The following is a 14,342-nucleotide window of genomic DNA, read 5'->3' on the forward strand; positions in this document are numbered from 1 at the left end:
CTCCTTCCTTTTAGACCAGTACCAGAGCTGTGCTGATTTATGTCATCTCTAAGTCCTAATTAAAAAAAAAATTCCAGGGAAAGAATTTTGATATGGTTGGAGTCAGGGTTGGTGGTACAAATAACAAGAAAACCTGATACTCCCAGGAGAATCTAATGGTTATAGCATAGCCAAGAAAAACTCCCTAAGTAAGATGGATTAGTACTTGGGATTTTGCAGCCACCAGAATTTACCTGCCTGTTCTCCCAAGGATGGAGGTTATATTTATCTACTCATGGTTCTATAACCAAAATATCACAGATGGGGCAGCTTAAACAACAGAAATTTATTTCTCACAGTTCTGGAGGCTGGAAGTTCAAAATCAAGATGGCAGAAAGGTTGATGTCTGGGAAAGGATTTTCCCTTGGGTTGTAGATGGCCACCTTCTTGCTGTGTACTCACATGGCCTTTCCTTGGTGCTTGCACACAGAGTGAGAAAGAACTAGCTGGTGTCTCTTTTGATAAGGTCACCAATACTATTGGATTAGGAGCCCGTCCTATGACCTCATTTAACCTTACTCACCTTTTTAAAGGCCCTATGTCCAAATACAGTCATGTTCTACAGTACTGGGGGTTAGAACTTCAAATATACTAGGGTGGAGCCAAGATGGCCAAATAGGAACAGCTCCAGTCTACAGCTCCCAGTGTGAGTGACGCAGAAGACAGGTGATTTCTGCATTTCCAACTGAGGTACCAGGTTCATCTCACTGGGGAGTGCCGGACAGTTCGTGCAGGGCACCGCGCATGAGCTGAAGCAGGGCAAGGCATCGCCTCACCCGGGAAGGGCAAGGGGTCAGGGAATTCCCTTTCCTAGTCAAAGAAAGGGGTGACAGACGGCACCTGGAAAATCGGGTCACTCCCACACTAATACTGTGCTTTTCCAACGGGTGTATCAAATGGCACACCAGGAGATTATATCCCACACCTGGCTTGGAGGGTCCTACGCCCACGCAGCCTCACGCATTGCTAGCACAGCAGTCTGAGATCAAACTGCAAGGCAGCAGTGAGGCTGGGGGAGGGGCTCCCGCCATTGCTCAGGCTTCAGTAGGTAAACAAAGCGGCCAGGAAGCTCGAACTGGGTGGAGCCCACCACAGCTCAAGGAGGGCTGCCTGCCTCTGTAGGCTCCACCTCTGGGGGCAGAGCACAGACAAACAAAAGACAGCAATAACCTCTGCAGACTTATTGGGATTTTGCAGCCACCAGATTTTACCTGCCTGTTCTCCCAAGGATGGAGGTTATATTTATCTACTTATGGTTCTATAACCAAAATATCACAGATGGGGCAGCTTAAAGAACAGAAATTTATTTCTCACAATTCTGGAGGCTGGAAGTTCAAAATCAAGATGGCAGAAAGGTTGATGTCTGGGAAAGGATTTTCCCTTGGGTTGCAGATGGCCAACAGCAAGTAAGATGGATTGTCTGATAGCTTTGAAGAGAGTAGTGGTTCTCCCAGCATGCAGCTGGAGATCTGAGAATGTGCAGACTGCCTCCTCAAGTGGGTCCCTGACCCCCGAGTAGCCTAACTGGGAAGCGCCCCCCAGTAGGGGCACACTGACACCTCACATGGCCAGGTACTCCTCTGAGACAAAACTTCCAGAGGAATGATCAGGCAGCAGCATTTGCGGTTCACCAATATCCGCTGTTCTGCAGCCACCGCTGTTGATACCCAGGCAAACAGGGCTGGAGTGGACCTCCAGTAAACTCCAACAGACCTGCAGCTGAGGGTCCTGACTGTTAGAAGAAAAACTAACAAACAGAAAGGACATCCACACCAAAAACCCATCTGTATGTCACCATCATCAAAGACCAAAGGTAGATAAAACCACAAAGATGAGGAAAAAACAGAGCAGAAAAACTGGAAACTCTAAAAATCTGAGCACCTCTCCTCCTCCAAAGGAACACAGCTCCTCACCAGCAACGGAACAAAGCTGGACGGAGAATGACTTTGATGAGTTGAGAGAGGAAGGCTTCAGAAGATCAAACTACTCCGAGCTACAGGAGGAAATTTGAACCAATGGCAAAGAAGTTAAAAACTCTGAAAAAAAATTAGACAAATGGATAACTAGAATAACCAATGCAGAGAAGTCCCTAAAGGACCTGATGGAGCTGAAAACCACGGCACAAGAACTACGTGACGAATGCACAAGCCTCAGGAGCTGATGCGATCAACTGGAAGAAAGGGTATCAGCGATGGAAGACGAAATGAATGAAATGAAGTGTGAAGAGAAGCTTAGAGAAAAAAGAATAAAAAGAAACGAACAAAGCCTCCAAGAAATATGGAACTATGTGAAAAGACCAAATCTACATCTGATTGGTGTACCTGAAAGTGACAAGGAGAATGGAACCAAGTGGGAAAACACTCTGCAGGATATTATCCAGGAGAACTTCCCCAATCTAGCAAGGCAGGCCAACATTCAAATTCAGGAAATACAGAGAATGCCACAAAGATACTCCTCAAGAAGAGCAACTCCAAGACACATAATTGTCAGATTCACCAAAGTTGAAATGAAGGAACAAATGTTAAGGGCAGCCAGAGAGAAAGGTCAAGTTACCCACAAAGGGAAGCCCATCAGACTAACAGCGGATCTCTTGGCAGAAACTCTACAAGCCAGAAGAGAGTGGGGGTCAATATTCAACATTCTTAAAGAAAAGAATTTTCAACCCAGAATTTCATATGCAGCCAAACTAAGCTTCATAAGTGAAGGAGAAATAAAATCCTTTACAGACAAGCAAATGCTGAGAGATTTTGTCACCACCAGGCCTGCCCTAAAAGAGCTCCTGAAGGAAGCACTACACCTGGAAAGGAACAACTGGTACCAGCCACTGCAAAAACATGCCAAATTGTAAAGACCATCAAGGCTAGGAAGAAACTGCATCAACTAACGAGCAAAATAACCAGCTAACATCATAATGACAGGATCAAATTCACACGTAACAATACTAACCTTAAATGTAAATGGGCTAAATGCTCCAATTAAAAGACACAGACTGGCAAATTGGATAAAGAGTCAAGGCCCATCAGTGTGCTGTATTGAGGAAACCCATCTCACGTGCAGAGACACACATAGGCTCAAAATAAAGGGATGGAGGAAGATCTACCAAGCAAATGGAAAACAAAAAAGGCAGGGGTTGCAATCCTAGTCTCGGATAAAACAGACTTTAAACCAACAAAGATCAAAAGAGACAAAGAAGGCCATTACATAACAGTAAAGAGATCAATTCAACAAGAAGAACTAACTATCCTAAATATATATGCACACAATACAGGAGCACCCAGATTTATAAAGCAAGTCCTTAGTGACCTACAAAGTGACTTAGACTCCCACACAATAATGGGAGACTTTAACACCCCACTGTCAACATTAGACAGATCAACGAGACAGAAAGGTAACAAGAATATCCAGGAATTGAACTCAGCTCTGCACCAAGTGGACCTAATAGACATCTACAGAACTCTCCACCCCAAATCAACAGAATATATATTCTTTTCAGCACCACACCACACCCATTCCAAAATTGACCACATGTTGGAAGTAAAGCACTCCTCAGCAAATGTAAAAGAACGGAAATTATAACAGGCTCTCTCTCAGACCCCAGTGCAATCAAACTAGAACTCAGGATTAAGAAACTCACTCAAAACGGCTCAACTACATGGAAATTGAACAACCTGCTCCTGAATGACTACTGGGTACATAACGGAATGAAGGCAGAAATAAAGATGTTCTTTCAAACCAATGAGAACAAAGACACAACATACCAGAATCTCTGGGACACATTCAAAGCAGTGTGTAGAGGGAAATTTATAGCACTAAATGCCCACAAGAGAAAGCAGGAAAGATCTAAAATTGACACCCTAACATCACAATTAAAAGAACTAGAGAAGCAAGAGCAAACGCATTCAAAAGCTAGCAGAAGGCAAGAAATAACTAAGACCAGAGCAGAACTGAAGGAGATAGAGACACAAAAAACCCTTCAAAAAATCAATGAATCCAGGAGCTGGTTTTTTGAAAAGATCAACAAAATTGAAAGACTGCTAGCAAGACTAATAAAGAAGAAAAGAGAGAAGAATCAAATAGATGCAATAAAAAATGACAAAGGGGATATCACCACTGATCCCACAGGAATACACACTACCATCAGAGAATACTATAAACACCTCTATGCAAATAAACTAGAAAATCTCGAAGAAATGGATACATTCCTCGACACATACACTCTCCCAAGACTAAACCAAGAAGAAGTTGAATCTCTGAATAGACCAATAACAGGCTCTGAAATTGAGGCAATAATCAATAGCTTACCAACCAAAAAAAGTCCAGGACCAGATGGATTCACAGCTGAATTCTACCACAGGTACAAGGAGGAGCTGGGACCATTCCTTCTGAAACTATTCCAATCAATAGAAAAAGAGGGAATCCTCCCTAACTCATTTTATGAGGCCAGCATCATCCTGATACCAAAGCCTGGCAGAGACACAACCAAAAAAGAGAATTTTAGACCAATATCCTTGATGAACATCGATGCAAAAATCCTCAATAAAATATTGGCAAACCGAATCCAGCAACACATCAAAAAGCTTATCCACCATGATCAAGTGGGCTTCATCCCTGGGATGCAAGGCTGGTTCAACATATGAAAATCAATAAACGTAATCCAACATGTAAACAGAACCAAAGACAAAAACCACAGGATTATCTCAATAGAAGCAGAAAAAGCCTTTGACAAAATTCAAAAACCTTTCATGCTAAAAACTCTCAATAAATTAGGTATCAACGGGACCTAACTCAAAATAATAAGAGCTATCTATGACAAACCCACAGCCAATATCATACTGAATGGACAAAAAATGGAAGCATTCCCTTTGAAAACTGGCACAAGACAGGGATGCCCTCTCTCACCACTCCTATTCAACATAGTGTTGGAAGTTCTGGCCAGGGCAATCAGGCAGGAGAAGGAAATAAAGGACATTCAGTTAGGAAAAGAGGAAGTCAAATTGTCCCTGTTTGCAGATGACATGATTGTATATCTAGAAAACCCCATCGTCTCAGCCCAAAATCTCCTTAAGCTGATAAGCAACTTCAGCAAAATCTCAAGATACAAAATCAATGTGCAAAAATCACAAACATTCTTATACACCAACAACAGACAAACAGAGAGCCAAATCATGAGTGAACTCCCATTCACAACTGCTTCAAAGAGAATAAAATACCTAGGAATCCAACTTACAAGGGATGTGAAGGACCTCTTCAAGGAGAACTACAAACCACTGCTCAATGAAATAAAAGAGGATACAAACAAATGGAAGAACATTCCATGCTCATGGGTAGGAAGAATCAATATCGTGAAAATGGCCATACTGCCCAAGGTAATTTATAGATTCAATGCCATCCCCATCAAGCTACCAATGACTTTCTTCACAAAACTGGAAAAAACTACTTTAAAGTTCATATGGGACCAAAAAAGAGCCCGCATCGCCAAGTCAATCCTAAGCCAAAAGAACAAAGCTGGAGGCATCACGCTACCTGACTTCAAACTATACTACAAGGCTACAGTAACCAAAACAGCATGGTACTGGTACCAAAACAGAGATATAGACCAATGGAACAGAACAGAGCCCTCAGAAATAATGCTGCATATCTACAACTATCTAATCTTTGACAAACCTGACAAAAACAAGCAATGGGGAAAGGAGTCCCTATTTAATAAATGGTGCTGGGAAAACTGGCTAGCCATATGTGGAAAGCTGAAACTGGATCCCTTCCTTATACCTTATACAAAAATTAATTCAAGATGGATTAAAGACTTAAATGTTAGACATAAAACCATAAAAACCCTAGAAGAAAACCTAGGCAATACCATTCAGGACATAGGCATGGGCAAGGACTTCATGTCTAAAACACCAAAAGCAATGGCAACAAAAGCCAAAATTGACAAATGGGATCTAATTAAACTAAAGAGCTTCTGCACAGCAAAAGAAACCACCATCAGAGTGAACAGGCAACCTATAGAATGGGAGAAAATTTTTGCAACCTACTCATCTGACAAAGGGCTAATATCCAGAATCTACAATGAACTCAAACAAATTTACAGGTAAAAAACAAACAACCCCATCAAAAAGTGGGCAAAGGATATGAACAGACACTTCTCAAAAGAAGACATTTATGCAGCCACAAGACACATGAAAAAATGCTCATCATCACTGGCCATCAGAGAAATGCAAATCAAAACCACAATGAGATACCATCTCACACCAGTTAGAATGGCGATCATAAAGAAGTCAGGAAACAACAGGTGCTGGAGTGGATGTGGAGAAATAGGAACACTTTTACACTGTTGGTGGGACTGTAATCTAGTTCAACCATTGTGGAAGTTGTTGTGGCGATTCCTCAGGGATCTAGAACTAGAAATACCATTTGACCCAGCCATCCCATTACTGGGTATATACCCAAAGGATTATAAATCATGCTGCTATAAAGACACATGCACACATATGTTTATTGCAGCACTATTCACAATAGCAAAGACTTGGAAACAACCCAAATGTCCAACAATGATAGACTGGATTAAGAAAATGTGGCACATATACACCATGGAATACTATGCAGCCATAAAAAATGATGAGTTCATGTCCTTTGTAAGGACATGGATGAAGCTGGAAACCATCATTCTCAGCAAACTATTGCAAAGACGAAAAACCAAACACCGCATGTTCTCACTCATAGGTGGGAATTCAACAATGAGAACACATGGACACAGGGAGGGGAACATCACACACCGGGTACTGTTGTGGGGTGGGGGGAGGGGGGAGGGATAGCATTAGGAGATATACCTAATGCTAAATGATGAGTTAATGGGTGCAGCACACCAACATGGCACATGTATACATATGTAACAAACCTGCACGTTGTGCACATGTACTCTAAAACTTAAAGTATAATAATAAAAAAAAAAAGAACTTCACATATACTAATTTGGGGGCAGGGTCATAATTTAGTCAATAACAGAGGATCAGATTGCTTCCAGCTCCCCACAACTACTAAAAAGCTTAAAAAAAAAAAAAAAAAGCAACCCTTATACATATCACCTTATGCACTGTATTAGTTAGCTAGGTCTGCCATAACAAAATAGCACAGAGTGGATCGTTTAAACAACAGATACTTTTTTTTTTTCCCTCACAGTTCCAGAGGCTAAAACACCAAGATGAAGATGCTAGCCAGTTTGGTTCCTGGTGAGGGATCTCTTCCTGACTTGTAAATGGCCACCTTCTAACCCTGTCCTCCTATGTCCCTTCCTCTGTGCATATATTGAGAGAGATAGAAATCCCACCAAAAGCCCTATCCCCAAATATAACCACAATGAGGGGCAGGGCTTTGAGATTTGAATTTGGAGGAGATACATATTCAGGTCATAAGATGTGCCTATTTTAAAAAATTCCTTGGAATACTGTATCAGTTACAAATTGTGCTACAGGAACAAACAATCTCGTAATTTCAGTGGCTTAACACAACAAAAGTTTATTTTTCACTCATTCTGGAGATCCAAGATAGGTCTTAACTAACATAGAGAATATGCTCATTATAGCCACCCTAGGACCCAGGTTGATAGAGACTCCATCTTAACATATTGTTTCCATTATCACTGCAGCAGTAGCAAGAAAACATATCTCCATTCACATTTCATCGGCCAAAGTAAATCACATGGCCACATCTATCTTCAAAGGTGGAAGAGCAAATCAGTGCAATCTTATCATGCGCCTAGGAGGTTGAGAGACAGAAATATTTGATGACTAGCACTAATTTCTATAATATATGTTAAGGAGTGAAATTTCTAGATGATAGAGTGAATATGCATTTTCTTAATTGCCTTACTGATGACAGACCACACTCCGTAATGGCTGCAACAGTCTACATTCCCAGCAGTGTGCAAGAAGTCCATATTCTCACCAATGCGCAGCATTATTCAGCTTTCTAATTTGTCAGGCTAATGATGTAAAGCAATATCTCATTGTGGTTTAACTTTCATTTTCTGATTAGCAATTATTTAAAATATGACTTCATATGCTTAATTTTTGATTTCCTTTTTGTTAAACTGTTTATTCACAACCATTGCCCATTTTTCTCTTGGTTTTTCTGTCTTTTTATGATTTTCTAAGAGTTCATTTTATATTCTAGATATTAATTTCTTGGTGGTTTTAAACAACTGCAAATTATTTCTCACCTTCTGTCACTTATAAACTTTATCCAAGATATCAGTTTCTGAAAAGAAATTCTTAATTTTTGTATAATTCATATATTTTTGTGCTCCATGGTTTGTACATTTGAAGTTATGTTTAAGAATTACTACTTCCCTGTAGTTTACAATTACATTTTTATTTTCCTCCATGAAGCTTATAGATTTATTTTTCACATTTAGGTATTTAATTACCTGTGATCTCCTTTTATATATAGTGATATGTAGGGAAAAGTTTAATTTTTTCTTGATTTTGTGGGAGTTTTCCCAAGTAATATGATGTGGTTAGACCCTGTGATCCCATCCGAATCTCATCACAAATTGTAATCCCCATAATCCCTGTGTGTCGAGGAAGGGACTGGTGGGAGGTGACTGGATCATGGGAGCAGTTCCCTCATGCTATTCTCATGAGAGTGAGAGTGAGAGCGAATTCTCGCAAGATCTGATGGTTTTATAAGGCAGTTTTTCTTGCTCTCACAAGCTCTCTCTTGCCTGCCACTATGTAAGATATTCCTGTTTCCCCTTCTGTCATGATTGCAAGCTTCCTGAGCCACCCCTGAGACAATGAATGTGAATCAATTAAACCTCCTTTGTTTATAAATTACCAAGTCTCGGGTATTTTCTTTATAGCAGTGTGAAAATGGACTCATGTAATCTATACTTTCCTCATTGATTTGGTGGTGCCATCTTTATTGTATATTAAATTTTCATAACCATATATATCTGCCTTTTACATTTTCATTCTTTTCAATGGCCAGTTTGCCTTTTTTTCCCCCATCAATACCACACTGTTTTTAATATATATCTTAATATCCAGTCAAGAAAATCATTTCTCTTTTCTCTCTTTTTAAATTAAAATTAATGTAGTGATGGTGGATGGTGGATATTTATTCAGCCATGTAAATTTTAAAATAAATATATTAAGTCATGAACAAAATAGAAATAAATGTTTGGTATTGCACTGAATTTACAGGTTAATTTAAATATAATTGACATTTTTATAATATTAGGTTGTCTTAGCCAAGGGTAATAATGACCATCTCCCCAGTGATTCCCATTGTATTCTTGTAGCCTTATTAGATATTTAAAACATTCTCCATATAAGTATTGTTTCAAGTTCTCCATTTAAGTAATTTGTTTTTTTAATCTTGTTCATGACAATTTTACTGAACTTTCTTATTAGATTTAATAATTTAATAATTCTTTTTTAATGTTTTAAGGCAGATAATACTTCCATAAATAATGACAATTTTATTTCTTCTATTTAAAATTTTACTACTTTCCTTTCTCTTTTTCTTTTGTTACACACTTGGCCAGGACTTCCAGGACCATGTTAAGCATTAATAGTGAGAATAAGCATACTAATCTCATTCTCAATTTTAAAGGGAATGTACTTAACGTCTTTTGCTAGGGGTAGTGTACTATAAATTTTTGGTACATGACCTCTATAAAGTGAAGAATGTTTCCTTCTAATTATAGTTTCCTAGGACTTTTTTTTAAGGTTTTAAATATGTACTAAAATCCATCAAGTGCTTTTTTTCTGAATCAAATGAAATAACTTTTTTTTTCCTTTTGGTCTATTAATGCAGTAAATTGTTAATGTATTTTCTACCTTTTATCATCTTCATGTTCCTGGGATAAACCATACTTGGCCATTTTTTATTACATATAAGCACATTTGTGGATTCAGTTAGCTAAAAGTCAAAATCCTTAAAATGGGTTACAACAGCCTACAGTACTTGCTCACTCTTCTCCCCTCTGTGCCTCACCCCATTATATCTCTGACTTATTTCCTTCAACTTCCCTCATGCACTCATGCAGGTCAAGTCATTCTGTCCTACTTGCTATTCCTCCAAATGGCCAGACACATTCCCACATCAATGCCTTTGCACTTGCAGTTCCTTCTGCCTGGAAAGAACTTTCTTTGATATGCAAATGGGTCACTCCCTCTCCCACTTCAGATCTTCACACAATTTTTCATCTTCTCAGTGAGGCCTATCCTGGCATTCCTGCTTAAAATTCCAGCCCACTCACTCCAACATTCTCTATCCCCTTTCTTTGCTATATTTTACTGTCTTAATTTTACTTATTTTCTTTATTCTTGGTGTTCTGGCATTTCTATTGTCACTAATCAGGGAGCGACTGCCCTCCCAAAGGTAGCCAATTCTAAGGGATAGCAAAAGGCTTGTCAGGGAGTGCATCTTTCATGCACAAAGTAACCATTCCAGAGCCCACAGCCCTAACCATCTCCTTTATCAAGCTCTTACGTACCTAGGCCAGTGTTTCCTCTCCCCTCAATCAACCTAGGGTCAGGTCCAAGTCAGCTAGGGACAGACTTTATGCCGCAAAGCCCACCTGCATTATACAAACTAGGCAGTCCAAAGGTGTTTGCCCTGCCCTACCTCACCTTTCCCTCTGAAACCCCAATAAAGGTTGTAGCTTATGACTTTCTCTCATCCCTTCTGCCCACTGACTTCCCTTGGTGCCCTTCCATGTAGCCCAGCATGGTGTACTGTGTCTCCTGTTTTTAGTATCTGTGAGCAGAAACTTCTTCCTCTATGGGAATCACCTCATGTCTCTGTGTCTTAACACACCTGATTAAAACAAATCTCAAGTACAAATGTTAAGGCATTTACTTCTTATGTCTTCTCACTTCGTATGAAACATACTATACAGTTAATTTATTTATATCGTTTATTGCATGTTGTCCCTAATTAGAATACCAGTTTCATTTAGCAGGAATTTATTTTTGTCGTTTCTTTTTAACTTCTATATCTCCATTATTGAGAACATTCCCCAGTAAATTCTGGGTCCTCAATAAATATTTATGAAATGAATGAATGAAATACTAATGAATAAAATGAATCTAATATTTTCCTTTCAAGTAAGGAAAACAAGAGGCAATTAATGTTGGCATATTGATATATTTTCTGTCAGTTTATGCCTTTTTGTTTATAGCTGACTTAGTATTTCCATCTGATAACAGTCATTTGAATGTTTGCTGAGCAGCTGCTTGCTCTGTATCAGACTTTGTGCTGGATATTGGGCAGGCAACGATGACAAAATAAACACTATTCTTGTCTGGAGGCAGTTTTCAGCCTTCAAATTTTAAATCTCCTGTTTATTATATTATGGGCAATCCCCCATGTTTCAAAATAAGATTTCCATGAAAATTAATTTTAATAGCTGTGCAACAAAAGATTTAAAGCAATCTTCCATGCACTACATTGGGCGGGCAGATTTGCTTTGTTTATAGACATAAAGTTTAAATTAGTTGCCAGTAATGTAAAAGTTGATTGATTTAACATTAACTAAGCCAGATTTCCAGCTGCTGCAAGAAAATAGGGAATTATAGAAAAAGGCGCCTGTATCCTCTCAAAAAACTTATTGATATTTAGAGCTGAATGGCAGCTTCTAATGTAGATCAAATATTGGTTTGTCTGTAAGGTTTTCTTTCATCTCCCTGTTTTACTCATTTATATTAACTGACTGGTCTCTGTTCATTTTGACTTTGTGACCTCTGTATAGAATATTCCATTATATGGATGCATCATAATTTTCTTAGCTATTTCCCCAAGGTTAAACAATTAGGCTATTGCTAAATTTTCACTGTTATAAACAACAGATAAATCTCTATCTATATGTCAGATTCTTTCCTTAGGGTAGATTTTTCTAAAAGGGAAATTACCAAGTTAGAGGGTAGGGATATTTTACTTGCTTTTCAAAAGAGTACATAATTTTCTACTCTCAGTTATGTATGAGGGTGCATATTTCAATGATGGCCTACTGAAGCTGCATTTTAAAATGTTTTCATCTTTACTAATTTAATAAGCAAAAATTGTATTTTAATTTAGATTTCTTTGATCACCGTTGAGATTAACCAGTCTGTATTTTATTAGCAGTTCTGTGGCACTATTTGCAAAATTACTTTTATTTCAATTTACCATATTTTTGTGTTTGATATGAGCTTTTTCTCTATTATGTTAAGTATTTCTGTGGCTTATTTACTATATATTTTTGTTATTAATTTTTAACTTTATGCCTTCTTTGATAAGTTATTTACTTTTTAATATTCAAATCAGGATATTTTTATTTTTTAATTTTTTTCTATTGTTTTTAACTTAACTGTATCCTTTATCCTGTAGAGGTAAATTAAATAGCCATATATACATTATACTTTTCATGACTGATTTTAAATATTTTGCTTTTTATTACTTTTGGAATTTATTTTGGTATAAGGTCAGTATCTAAATTTTGTGTTGTATTGTCAATTTTAATTGTTTTGCTTTTTTTTCACTAGCATCAAAATCAATATTCTGAAAAAATATTTCCTTTTCTTTTTTGAGACGGAGGAGTCTCGCTCTGTCGCTCAGGCTGGAGTGCAGTGGCGCGATCTCCGCCCACTGCAAGCTCAGCCTCCCAGGTTCACGCTATTTTCCTGCCTCAGCCTCCCAAGTAGCTGGGACTACAGGCGCCGGCTACCACGCCCGGCTAATTTTTTTTTTTCGTATTTTTAGTAGAGACGGGGTTTCACCACCTTAGCCAGGATGGTCTTGATCTCCTGACCTCGTGCTCCACCCGCCTCAGCCTCCCAAAGTGCTAGGATTACAGGCGTGAGCCACCGCGCCCGGCCCTGAAAAATATTTATTAAATAAACCTCTTTCATGCTGATGTATATACCTTATTAAGTGTGTATTAACTTCTTGTGTACATTAGCAACTGTATCTAAGTGGTATTATTTTGTTTCGTAAATTTTCCTCTCAATGCTTATGACATTTCATTATTAAAACTTTCTAAGATACTTTAGTGGCCATATCCTATTAAATATAAATCCTTAAGAGTTCATTTTTTAAACAGAGCCATTCTCATTTGTCTCTAATTTTTCTGGAGTAAAATTAGAATTATAATTTCAAGTTTCAAAATACCTTCTAAGTGATGTCATATAAATACATTTAAAAATAATTAACATTCTAAGAATAATATTGACACATAATTTTTGATCTTTCAAAAAATAGTACTCCCTTCACTTTTTAACATTTCTGTTAATATTTTTACAGTGTTTTTTTTTTTCCATAAAAGTCTAGCACACATTTGGCTACAATTATTTTTAACTATTTTATATTTTGTTGCTATTTTGAGGTGATTATTTTCTATTACATTTTCTACCAATTTATTTTTGGTATTTAAGGAGAATTTTTTTTTATTTTTACATGTGTTTCTGAATCTTTATTTTTTACCCCTCCATTGACTCAATAAATGTTATATATTCAACATTATTGTCCCTAATATTTTATCTTCCAATTATAATTTTTATTTTGATTACATTATCTATTGTTTTGGTTATAATTGCCAGAACATTAAAACTATTAATGAAACCAAGTGTGGTGGCATGCACCTATAGTCCCAGCTACTTGGTAGTCTAAGGCAGGAGGATTGCTTGAGCCCAGGAATACAAACCTGTAGCTCACTATGATCACTATGATCATGGGTGACTGGCCACTGCATTCCAGCTTGGGCAACATAGCAAGATCCTGTCTCTAACTATATATATATATATATAATATATATATATAATATATATAAAATATATATATTTATAGATATATAATACTGTATAATATATAATTGTTATATAATATATAATATATATTATATGATATATAATATATAGATTTAAATATAAATATATAATATATATCTATATCTATAAAATATATAATATATATCTATAAATATATAATATATATTACATCTATAAATATATAATATGTATTATATCTATAAATATATAATATATATTATATCTATAAATATATAATATATATTAGATCTATAAATATATAATATATATTATATTATTATATATAATATATATTATATCTATAATATATGATTATTATATATAATATATAATTTATAATATATAATATAATATACAATATATATTATGTATTATAATAATATATATTACATATATAAATAATATATATATCTATAAATATATAATATATATATAAACAACATTTCATATCTTTGCCTTCACTGTGGTTTTATTGAAATTATCGCTAATGTT

General features: G+C 36.9%; 2 annotated features.

The window, feature by feature from the left end:
* Positions 9,909-10,441: an enhancer, noted in NCBI's record as "OCT4-NANOG hESC enhancer chr3:30100685-30101217 (GRCh37/hg19 assembly coordinates)". NCBI's record gives its function as "activates a minimal SCP1, AML or CMV promoter by ChIP-STARR-seq in primed H9 embryonic stem cells {active_cell/tissue: H9 hESC(primed)}" and the evidence as "EXISTENCE:reporter gene assay evidence [ECO:0000049][PMID:30033119]".
* Positions 13,635-13,804: an enhancer, noted in NCBI's record as "experimental_69254 CRE fragment used in MPRA reporter constructs". NCBI's record gives its function as "activates a minimal promoter by MPRAs in K562 erythroleukemia cells, with activity observed for the non-introgressed 3:30104496 variant allele {active_cell/tissue: K562}" and the evidence as "EXISTENCE:reporter gene assay evidence [ECO:0000049][PMID:34662402]".

The sequence above is a fragment of the Homo sapiens genome, chromosome 3, assembly GCF_000001405.40.
Source record: "Homo sapiens chromosome 3, GRCh38.p14 Primary Assembly".
In the NCBI taxonomy this organism is placed as follows: domain Eukaryota; kingdom Metazoa; phylum Chordata; class Mammalia; order Primates; family Hominidae; genus Homo; species Homo sapiens.